Source organism: Homo sapiens, chromosome 8 (genome assembly GCF_000001405.40).
Source record: "Homo sapiens chromosome 8, GRCh38.p14 Primary Assembly".
NCBI lineage: Eukaryota > Metazoa > Chordata > Mammalia > Primates > Hominidae > Homo > Homo sapiens.
Genome location: NC_000008.11, coordinates 92,877,402 through 92,889,879, shown reverse-complemented (window position 1 = coordinate 92,889,879; position 12,478 = coordinate 92,877,402). Strand labels below are relative to the sequence as shown.

The 12,478-nt window shown below is 32.4% G+C and overlaps 1 protein-coding gene across 14 annotated transcripts in view; it reads left to right on the top strand.

Annotated features, from left to right (window-relative positions):
* Nucleotides 1-6,346, top strand: part of TRIQK (triple QxxK/R motif containing) — a 134,132-nt gene extending 127,786 nt beyond the window's left edge. For all 14 annotated transcript variants that reach the window (XM_047421713.1, NM_001438083.1, NM_001171799.2 and 11 more), the window contains one exon: nt 3,145-6,346. In XM_047421713.1, the coding sequence (XP_047277669.1) occupies nt 3,145-3,258 (114 nt within the window). In that variant the 3' untranslated portion in view covers nt 3,259-6,346. The remainder of the gene's footprint in view (nt 1-3,144) is intronic.
* Nucleotides 6,347-12,478: the final 6,132 nt, after the last annotated feature.

Genomic DNA, 12,478 nt, shown 5'->3' with positions numbered 1-12,478 from the left:
AACAGCAATGAGAATAGCACTGAGCTCAGGATAAGGAGGCCTAGAATCCTATCCCCTTTGCCTCTTCCTTTTGCCATGATCCATCTAAGTCTAAGCTGGCACATTTATAAAATGGAAATTTTGCCATTTACCTCATAATGTTGTCAGGAGAGTTCAATAATACACTAGAAACATTGAACATTGAATTGAATGTGTAGAAGTCACTTATGAATTATTAGCTGATTGAGAAAACATTTGTTTGAATTAGCCATTCCCAGTTTGTGTAAGTAAGTCTCTCCTTCAGTGTTTGTCATCGGCCTTAAGATACCCTCCTAAAGTGTGCATCGTGTTGCCATATTATATATTACAAAATGTTCTTAGATTGGCTTTGGAGGTAGTATTATGGATATTAGTGTTATAAAGTTTTAAAAACATTACTAATTTTGATATCCCTGTATAACGATTATATAAATTTTACTCAATCTTTCATTATTTATAAATTACCATAAATATTATAATAGTATAGCACCTGTGAAAAGAAAGATGAATAAGACATGATCATCTTGGAAGAGCTTATACAAGAAATCACTTATAGATTTAATTACCATATCAAATCAACAGTACTGATTGAGAAATCATGGGCTAGAGATATGCAGAATTATACAATAGGGGCTTAACCCTCAGAGGCTTCTAGTGCTTTTTGTAAATGTATGTTTAGTAATAGCGTTTTAAGGGAACAGTTAGCAATTTCCATATAAGATATTAATACATTGTTCTGAAACCTAGACTTGATTTCTACTGAGGAGGTACTTTTTATTTTTTGTGTTTTAGAAATACAAAGAAAATGCCATAATTTATGGCCCAGTAATGCAATGAGTGCCGCCTAAAAAATGTTTGCACAACTAAGTTTGCTATTTAGTTGCTGCTCAATTAAAAGATTATTTTTTCAAGAATTACAGCATCACCAACTTTTTTTTCAGAATGCAAATACCGGTTTTCTAGCATTTAGAAGGAAAAGATTTACATTTGTTAATGAGTTGCTTTTTTATTTAAAAGGTTTATATGAAAAGCATAATTATAGTGAAAGAATAAGGATCACAAGTTTAGTTTTGTTACATAAATAAAATATTCAAGTGCCAACCAGATCCTGCCCACAACCCCTTGGGATGAGCCAGCTTGAAATGTTATGTTTGTTCTTTTTTGTTCTTTTTGATTTAAAGCTAAAAATAGCCAAAGGGGGCAAGGGAGTCATAAATGCCTATAGGTCTCTAAGTTATGGTTAGTTTCACCAGCATCCTGCAAGCATTATTTTCAAATTTTACCATCGTTTCAACTCTCCCGACATTCAGCCTCTACAATGCTTTTCTCCTCAATGAAGAGATAATTTTTGGAGAAAATTATTTGCTATACCTTTCCACCTAGTACCTTTAAGCCACACCCACACTGTACATTGAACAGATGTAATGAATTAATGGGTCTTCTGAAGTTATGTTCTATGAATATTCTCTGCTTCCTATCCCTTAAATGCCTTTTCATGCCTCTGGATGTTCTGAAAATATATAGTGAAATGATACAGAGTTGTTTTAAGGACAAGGAGTTGAAAAGCAGCAATTAGAACTGATTATCAATAAGATATGAATCATGGCCTCCAATCAAGAGTACAAACTTAATTCTTGCATTAAGCTTGGGCGAATGGGGACTGCTGTTGAACAGTTTTGTTGTCCACTATACAGAACAGATGGAGTTTGCAGTTGTGTGTCACTTGTTTATTACATCCTCTTAAAATTAGTAGCTGTGTAACCAGATGGGTCTGGGAACACAGCTGTGGATATAAGAAAATAAATGAAACCTGTCTGATGCTGCCATGCCCTTTTGAGATGCCAAAGTGTTTCTACTGCAACAAAGAAAAAATTCACTTTCCTTTGACATTATATTGGTATATTAGATTTAAAAAATGAAACCTTACAAAGATCTTTGACACTTGAGTTTTTCAACCTCTTGGTTTTTATTAATATTTATTTTCATAGTTTGGACATCTAAATAAATGTAATTATGAAGCTAAAAATCTGTATAAAAGATCTATTTATAAATTCAACATTCATGTAAAAATTCCATGTTGATTATAAGCCAAATTCATTTTAATGTTTTTAAAGTTTATTATTACTGACTTACCTTCTTGTGAAATGTAAACTATATTCATGTAAATGCTAATGCATTGCTTCTCTGTAAAGCAGTGCTAGGTAAAGGGCATAATATACAGTAGAAATTAGAATATAGTATGTAAGCCCTTTAGGATACTGAACTGGCATTCTATTTGCTTTTTTTTTCTTTTTTGATTTAGTCAAATGATATGTTAATGTTAAGAAAGTTCTGGAAGGTATACACACAGAGATATATACATATACATACTTTTTGAGAGATAATATGATTTTTATCATAATATATGAGTAAATTTTTTATCATTATTACAATATAGTTGATTAATTTAATCCACATCACATCACAAATGAAAAATCTGGGCCCATCCTTCAAAACTGTGATAAATGTATTGTATTATGCTTCATGAGTGAAGAGTACTTTGTTTTGTTCCTCTGCAGTGTAAACTATAGACTTTAGGATTTAAAAATTAGAGTTTCAACAAAGTCACATTTAATGAGTATGTATACATCTATATATAATCTAGAGACCAGTTACAACTGTTTCTTTACAATGAAAAGGAATGATAATTAAAAAAAAAACTGTGCCCAAATGCTATCATTAATACTGAATGTATTGAAGCCACAAATAAAGTTAAACACACTCAAATAGAAAACAGATCAACTGTGTAGATACAAACTGCATTGCTTGTATCGAACATCCTGATATCCAAACTATAAAAATATATTAAAATGATACATTTTTAATATTACTATAAGGAAAAAACAAATTAGCTAGAAATAATAATACTAATGACTCACCCACTGGTGTATTTGCCATTTCATTGGGACTTGCCAGTACAAAACAGTTTCTTAACGGCAAAAAATGGTAAACAAAAAGGATATGATTATTAGGTTCAAATTATTCATTCTAGACTGTGGAACAATATGGTTATTTTATCTGGTGAAACTAATAATGTTAACCAATCTTTTTTCATCAATTTCAAGTCTACTTTTTTTTTCTTCCCAGGAAGTTGGCCTTGTACTTGCAGCTATATTGGCACTACTACTGGCTTTCTATGCTTTCTTTTATCTCAGACTCACCACGGATGTTGACCCTGATCTGGACCAAGATGAAGATTAGCTAAGCAACAATCAATGCATGAAAGAGAAATAACTTTACGAAAGCACCTTTTGGGACCAAAACTTTCAATACTGAAACTGTAACATCTTTAATTCTTTCTGCTAATATTTTCAGTTTGCAGACATATGATTTTTGATAGTTGCATAGGATGTCAGGAAAAGAACCTTACCTAGCAATGCAGTATAGTATGTGCTACTGGATACTTTTATATATCTTTCTGCTTTGACAGCCACCCTATACATGGTACATTTAGATGAAATGGGAACCAGATCCTAAATTTTTCAAATGTCATTGCCAATTTATGTGTATAATTCCATCACTTCCTGATGAGTAAGTCTATTTTTGTTCTATATACATCATAAGTTAGTATATATTCTTATTTACAGAAACATGCTCAAATCACATTCAGAAAGAACAAAAAGTCATGGGAAATTTTTTATTTTACAACAAAGCCCTGCTTTCTTTCTGGACGTATTTTACATCATTAGAGAGACTATCTGCACATACATCTACCATAATCTTTTTCCTTCTTTGCCAACTGTTCAGTGCACATGTGCTGCATCAGAAATGGCACCTGGATGACAGAAGCTCAAAGAGTCACATATGTCTCTAAAATAGAGTTCTTTTCCTCTTGGGCTGTCTGAACTGGTGTAAATAGAAGCTCAGTTGATCTTGGTTTTAATTAACTTATTACTCTATTAATATAACCTTGGAATTCTATTCTAATTATGTTGTTCTGGCTGCTTGTAGTATCAGTTCGCCCCTCTTGTTAGGGAGATATGTAACAATCTGTCATTTAATTGAGCAGTCTTTTTCACATAACAGTAATAGCAAAAATCCTACCTACTCAGAATCATCTTCTTAGGTTGTCTCCTAAATCTGAACAATACAGTTGTTTTATAAAATTACATTTTGTCTCTTGAGATTTAATCAATTAGAACTCTTTAGGGAGAAAATAAATAATAGAAGAAAATATATGCCTCATATTTCATATGTAATTATCTGTTGATATAATTTTTCAATGTATTTTGTATTTGTGGGAGCATAATGACCTGTACATTCAATATTTTTACTGGTAATTCAATTTTTAAATATGTTTTTACAATGCTTGAACACATAAACCTTAGAAAACTGGAAAATACGTGTCCACAGAAAGAGTTATTAGCTACTACCTTATGTAAAGATGCATAGAAAATGAAATTGTTGGAAACATGTGCACAAAGTGTTTTATATTATATACATTGTATTTATGAAGAATAAATAAAATATTAAGATTGTTTTCCTGCTAGCCAAGAGAAGAAATCCTTGGGAAATATCTAAGGAGTATATGGGGCTTTATAAGCACTGTTTCTAAAAGATATTCTCTGGTACTTTTGCAAAAAGTCGACTGTGACTGTGTAGCATTATGTTCTGTAGAATTTTTTTCAAGTAGCATAATTTATTTCATTGGTGTGAAAACAGCCAAAGGTTCCAATATCCTCACAAATCATTTATGCCAAACATCTGAGGGCAAAATTTAGCCGGTGTTATTTACTAGATTCTTCCCTTTGAACTCACAGACTCAAGAGACAGACCAAGAGTTCTTATATACTCACCACAGCGGACCAATCCAAGTGGCATTTTTAGGAAAGGTTGCAGCATTTAATGCCATGTGGTATGTCTGTTCGTCAAGTGGGTGGCAAGGGAATATCCAAGCTGGCATTTTGGATATGATGGGCCTTTTACTTTCCTGAGTGACATGCCACATGTCAAGAAATACTGCTCCCCACCCCCCCACTCCCATCACATTTACGTGAACAATTTTCATTTAGTTATTTCCCGTTCCATATGGTGTTAAAACAGTCGTATTAAATAAAGATTATTTCTAGTTTTCAGTGGTAATTTAAATGAGAGGATATGTAATAATTGCTTATTAGATACTTATCCAAATGAAATATAACAGAGTTTACAGTACTTAAAATGGCTGGTTATGGTCTTGGAAATGTTTGAAAATTCATTATCCTGAAAAAAACTTTACCATTCTGTTTTACCCTTGAGGTATTTTTTGGGGAAAAATGTTTTTGATAACTATTAATCTAAATATAGTATAATTATAGGCAAATTTCACTGCCTAGTTTTATTGATATCCTGAGTCTACAGCTAGTCCATTCGTATGACTGATTGATTTATGATAGCTCCAGAGAACCATAAATTTCAAAGGCTAAACTCTCTGATTTTAGTAAATAGTAGGTAAAGTGACACAATATATGTTTACACAACACTGTTTTCATGAAATGCAAACTTTGCAAAACTCACATTAACTGGGAAGCAGCCAACCCTCTGTAGAGAAATCCCAGATTGGGAGTCTGGTTTGAATCTTTGAAGACAGAAAGGTGATATCCGGCCTGCTGTTTTAAAGGGACCACACTTTTGAATACCTACTGGTGTTTGGCAGAAATCTGAGACTGGCACCAGACACAAATTTTAGACATGGGTATCTTCCCTCCAGTAATTCACTGCTCAGAGTAATTTAGAAGACAAAAACAGAAAAAATTGTAATGATTTTTTAAGTGTTAGAATATGTTTGTTAACATACTCTGCAAAATAAATTTCAACTAATGCAATAGACTTAAAATATAGCCTATGGAATACTGTGATTGAAGTTTGAAGGCTTGCTGGTTCTTATTTTGCATGCAAGTTTAGACAGGGTAAAGAATGTATAAATTTATTTGAGATGAGATACAGTATTGTAAAAATATAACCTCATCTAGAATTGCTTTTAAAACAAGCAAAAGCCTATTTTAGTACAAATGTAGGGTGGGTAGTTGTTTTAAGGTAGCAAAATACTTCAAGATTTTCTATCTTTTTAATTTTTCATGAAGACAGAAGAAATACTTTCACCCCAACCAATGACTGTAAGATCTTGAGAGTATGTTCTTACTCATTTCTGTAATTGCAGTAGTGTAGTCATCTGCATATAAATTTAATAAATGCATGTTAAAATTTAAGTTGATGCCTTTTAGTCCTCTCAGAGTCTGTCACAGTTTCTTTGTGTAAATGATAAAAAAGTTTGAATTTAATCAATAAAACTTAAAAATCACAATATCAATCAACTCGGCATTTACCATTTATGGTCCTTGGTTGTACTGAGATATATACGTGTTTCATCCTGATTCTCTTTAAATCAAGACAACTAGCATTAAGGTCGCTATAAAATAGAAACATTGCTCTTTTCTAGGGAATCAAATATGCTATTTTTATCTTAGAATTTATTAAAAACTATACTCAATGTTTGAATTCAACTTAGCATGCATTTTCACTCCAAATGAAAATAGAACTCAATTTTCATTATAATGTTTATGTGACTACTAAAACACTGTATTTTCCAGGTTCTAAAATTATATACTCAATGATAATTCAGTAGAGCAAATTGTGCTATACATCAGCGTCAGAAATATACTTCTAGAAATTAAACCCAGCCTATTTTAATGTATTTCATCCATAACATAAAGTTGTTGAGCCAGAGACTACCTAAGATAATTTTGTATTCTCTCCTCACCAACAATTAGACTTCTTTACACTTACCTGGGGCTTCTCTGGGAGATTCCTACCACTTCTCCCTTAGCAGCACTGCCTTCTTTTATTAGAATTGCTCCAATGCAGCCTGGATAGAATGCTGTTTGCTAGATTTTGTTCCACTTAAACCATATTTAGAATCAGTGCAACCCACGGTTAAAAAAAAAATGTAGCAGATGAATTCAACCTACAGGAACATTCTTACCATTTTGTTGATATTTTAGCTATAAAGGTAAGTAGAGAGGGAACTGGGAGAGTCATGTAAAGAACTATATCAGTATGGAAATATCCATAGTGGGTCAGTAATTGAGTTAAACAATTGAACTGTAGCCACATTCAGCATAGTGCCTCCTTGTTATACAGTTTTTCTATCCCTAGCAACAGATATGTGATTCTTATTTCAAGAAAAATAAGATACGTTACATGCCAGAAGATTTTTTGATGACAGTACTCCCTCCTATTCTTCATTTTTTAAAACAACAACCAAATTGGTGGGGAGGCAGCCAAAATTTGAGGTACCAATGCCTCTCGAACAGATGTCGCACCATTATTTTTTAGCTCGTTTAGATGAATAAACATGTTAAACTGTGAAGTATTACATTTTAGATTTTTTCATTAAAAAAAGAGACAATCTGTTTACTGTCCTAATTGAGACAACAATCCTTGTGGTTGCCAGTTTTGGCAGTCATAACAATGAACTATAAATATTTGGACCAATCAAGTAAATGGTGACTATGAAGGCTATAGCATGTGTAAAGTTCTGTTTTCATGGGCACCCATCTTAGTATGGCATTTTTTTCCCTGACTTCTTCAAATACAATTGTTTGTGTGAAACTGAAGTATCATGGTAAGCCTAAAAGAAATTGATTTCAATATCTAATTTCTTTCTAGCTTATCATCCTTTTTAGTGTTCAACTATCCATCTGCTTGTAACAAATTGCTTCTGCAATTACTCTGTTGAATGTGACAAGGCAGGTCTTCACTGGATTGCCTTCTAGGTATGTCCTAGGATAACACAAAATTCAGAGGGATTTTCTTTTCATGTTGATATAGTGAGATTGAAGATATCTTTAAAGTCTCTTAAATTGCAGCAATTTCTAAAATAAGATTTTATAAACAATGTTGGATATAATTCTTGCTGTAGTGGCCATGAGGTGGAGTTTATAATCTTAGCGCCTATTAGGATGCTTTACACTAAACAACAGTGTGGAAGTTGGTAAACTAAAGAGAAATACCCCATACATGAAAATCTTTTATGATGCTACCTCCCAAACATTTGTGATCCAGATAGGGAGTGCCCTTCTAGGTAGCTTAAGAGTGCTTTTGCTCCCTTCTCCAGCTCTTCAACTTCTACCCTATTTGCCTTAATTCTAAGTTCCAGGCAGTCTCTCTTCTTTCAGTTTTTTTTTTTTTTGAACCTCACTTCTACTTTAATAGGTTAGCACTCTCACGTACTTAACTATGTACTTACTGTGTTAACTACCTCTACCCTTTTATTTAGACTCGTCATTGATCCTCACCTGCTTTTCCCCTCTCTCTTACTTCTTGCTTGCTTTTTTTATCACTAACCACATGTATTACACAAAAGTAGAGAGAATAATGTAATAATCTCAATCTACCCATTACCTAGTTTCAATAATTATTAATGTATCCCCACTCTTTTGCATATTTTCACCATTTTTTTATACTGAGGTATTTTAAAGCAGACTTCAGATATGATGTCATTTTACTGTAAATATTTCAGTATGCATCTCTAACTGACAAGAATGTTGGGATTTTTGTTGGTTGGTTTTTTGTTTTGTTTTGTTTTTATATTACCAGAAAGCTATTGGTAGAATATATATATATTTCCTAATATAATCTAATACTGTCAATATTCAGATGTCCCTAATTGTTTCCAAGATGGCTATTTACAAGAGATTTTAAAATTAAGTCCATGCTGAATTTGGTTGCGTGTCTCTTAAATTTCTTTTATTCTGTAAAAAAATAATCCAGGCCATTGAATTGCTGAAGAAAACAGCAATTTTGTTTGCTGTTTATTTGTCCTTTCGAATGTCAAGTAATCTAGATTTAGTACTTTTCATTGTGTTAGTCATTTTATTCCTATATTTTTCTTATTTTCTATAACCCGATAATGAGATATTAAGCTAGATTAGGTCCAGTTTTTTATGACTGTGGTTTGTTAGTTCTTAAGCTGAGAGTATTTCGTAGTACTTAATGAGTTACATAATACTTGGTGGTCTCATTTGTGATGTTAGACTTATCAGTGAATTGATGTGCTAGTAATGTGATTTCCTGCAAAATAAGGTTTTTTCATCAACATCACCTTTCCTGGATGCATTATCTCATCAGGCATTGCAAAATGGTGATTTTCTTTCATTCCTTCAGCATATATTAAGTGGAATTATTATGTTTAAAAATAATCTTCTTTATCAACTATTTGATCATCTGAAAATACAGCTTATACAGGAGAGGAAGGATAAATACTTGAGTCTTTCCCTTTCTTAAATTTCAGATTAATGAATTAGCACTCTCTAATGGTGGCCAATGAAGATTTGCCATTGTTATTGCTGTTGCTGCTTTTATTATTATAATCTAGTTATATATTTTATATATATGATGTGTTTCAGCCCATTGCCATCATCATTCTTTTCAGTACTGAGATGAGAATTCAATTATCATGCTTAATATTAGAAGTATTCTCATTAAAATCATGAGTTTAATGCTTTTACATTGTTATACATTTTTCTGAAAGTGATAGCCAGTGTAATTCAGTTTTTAAGACAGCAGGAATAAATAATAAATATGGCAAAAAATGGAAAAAACTAAAATTTTAAGATTATGTGGTTGACTAGAAAACTAAGAAAATATTGTATAAGATTTATATAACATATTTCTTTAGATAATAAGTATGTAATAATCAATAGTTTTATTGTTCTCTATATTAACACAATAATTAGAATAATTAGTTAAATATCATAATAGAAAAACGTGTTTCACCATTGCAATTAAAATTATGGACTATGTAGAAAAAATGAGCAGAAATGTATGAGTGTTCATTGAAAAAAAAGCTCTACAAGATAACATAATGAAGTTTTAATTGAAAAGACACCAACTGTCTCCATGGATAGGAAGGTTCAACATTGTACAAATGTAAATTTTCCTCTATTTTGTAAACAGAAAAGGGAAACTTGATCTGCAATATATTAAAGTATATTATAAAGTTATAGTAACTAAAATAATGTCATAGTCAATGAAAAGTAGACAGATCAACAGAAAAAAATGCAGTGTCCAGAAACAGATCTAAATATAAATATTCATTTAATGCATTATGTATGTCATGCAGATGGAAAGATAGATTAATTAAATGTATTGGAACAATTTAGTATCCTTTTAGAAATTAAAAGATGCCTATATCATGACTTAAAACAAGATGAATTCTGGTGGAATTTATGATTTCTATATAAAAAATGAAACCATAAAAAGTATTAGAAGAAATTATAGGTAGACGTTTTTAGAATCATTTTGTAAGGAAAATTATTTCTAGGCGTTGATTCATGAGTTAGAAATCATAAAGGGAATACTGTTGGATTATAACACATTAAATTAAAATCTAACATGCAGCCTGGTACTCAGTGTTAATTAAGGATGTGAAGAAACAATCTCTTTCATTCACTGCTTGAGGGAATGATAATCTCACACACTTTCTGGAACGCACTTATGTTTCAAAAGCTTTACATTTCATATATACTTTAGAAATTCGTCTATATGTGACAATGACAGTAGTATGCAAAAATGTATTAACCGCATCACTGTTTATGACCAAAAAAGTGAAAGTGATGTAAATATCCAATTTAGGAGTAGGTGAAAAAGCAGTTATAAAATATTAATGTGATGCAATTCTATTTTGTTTAAAGATACTGGTCTCTGTGTGTTTAACTTATGGGAGGACTAGAAGGAAAATGTTTTGTTGAACTACAACTTGAGTCCATATACCTAGTAGATCTGTCTGCTAGTTTCCGTTACATTCTATATTCGTTTATTCAGTATTCACTCATTCATTCTATATTTATTTGTCCGATAACTCTTGCCCTTCTAGATGCTAATATGTCATCTGTCACAATTCCACAGCAAAAGTACTATGGAAAAAGATGGGTCTGCTTTATTCACTGAAAAATTAAAGAACACTTCAAAAAGGAACTGATACTTGAGTTTATTCATTGTTCATTCAAGAAATATACTTATTGAGCACTTGCGACATGCTAGTCACTGTCCTTTGTGCTTGCAACAAATCAGTGAACCTTAAAAACAAAAACACAACATACTCCTGTTCTTATGATGTAATCTTGAGAGATGGTGATTGTTTCATCAAACAGAAAAAAAAAAAAAAAGGATGAGACGGTATTCCAAGTAGAGAAAGCCACACTTGACTTTATTTATTTCACAATAGTTATCAATTTATTTGTGTGATTCTCCCACTGGACTCTAAGTTCCTTAAGAAAGGAACTCTGGCTTGTACTGCTGTATCTCTGATGCCAAACATTGTTCCAGACCCATAATAGGCACACAGTAAATATTTTTGAATAACTAATACTATACTTCATTCCCTAGAACAGAGTTTCTTGATGTTGGCATTATTGGCATTTGAGGCCAGATAATTATTTGTTGTGGGTGTCTACCCTGTGCATTGTAGAATGTTTAGCTGCATCACTGGATGCTAGCATGCAGCTAGATGCCAGCAGTACCTCTCCTGCCTGTTATCAAAACCAAAGATGTTTCCAGGCATTTTCAAATGTCTGTGGGGTCCAGAATCACCCCTATCTGTAGAGAATCACTGTCCTAGCACTGTGAAATTAAGTGAAAACTATGGAACAATTCCAGTGAATATAATGTGGAAATCGGGAAGAGTAGAATGAGACTTTCTTTTCAGTTACTTTGAGTCTTTTATTAGAGGCATTGTATTTTATTTTTTGTCCAAGCACTCTTAATTCTATACTGTTTGTTGATTCAATTCCTATACTGACTACCGTGCTTGTGAGAGATGGGGACATCACATGTAAAGATGAGCGATGTCTGCATTTAACCCACCTTGCTGGTCACATCCCTAGTGGTACTGCAACTTTGTTTTGTTTTCAAAAGAAAGGAGGAAAGACTTTAAGATGTTGCTTTTATCAAATAAATAAGCTAGTGTTTTTTCAAGAAATTTTAGACACACTCTAAGACAAAACTCCTAATGCAGTTTTTTAATACCTTTTATAATGTAGGATTTTTTAATACCTAATATTTCATCTTGAATTGCAATCCCCAGATGTTGAGGGAGAGACCTGGTGGGAAGTGACTGCGGTTTTCCCCCTGCTGCTCTCGTGAAGGTCAGTGAATTCTCGCGAGATCTGATGGTTTTATAAATGGAAGTTTTTCCTGCCGCTGACACATGCATTTCCCTGCTGCTATGTGAAATGTGCGTCTTCTCCTTCCGCCATGATTGTAAGTTTCCTGAGGCCTCCTCAGCCATGCGGAACTGTGAGTCAGTTAAACCTCGTTTCTTTATAAGTTACTCAGTCTCGAGATGTCTTTATAGCAGTGTGAGAATGGACTAATACAATAGCTAAATAATGCCTTAGAAATCAATATTTAATTCTTAGTTTTTGAAACTTTACCGCGTAAC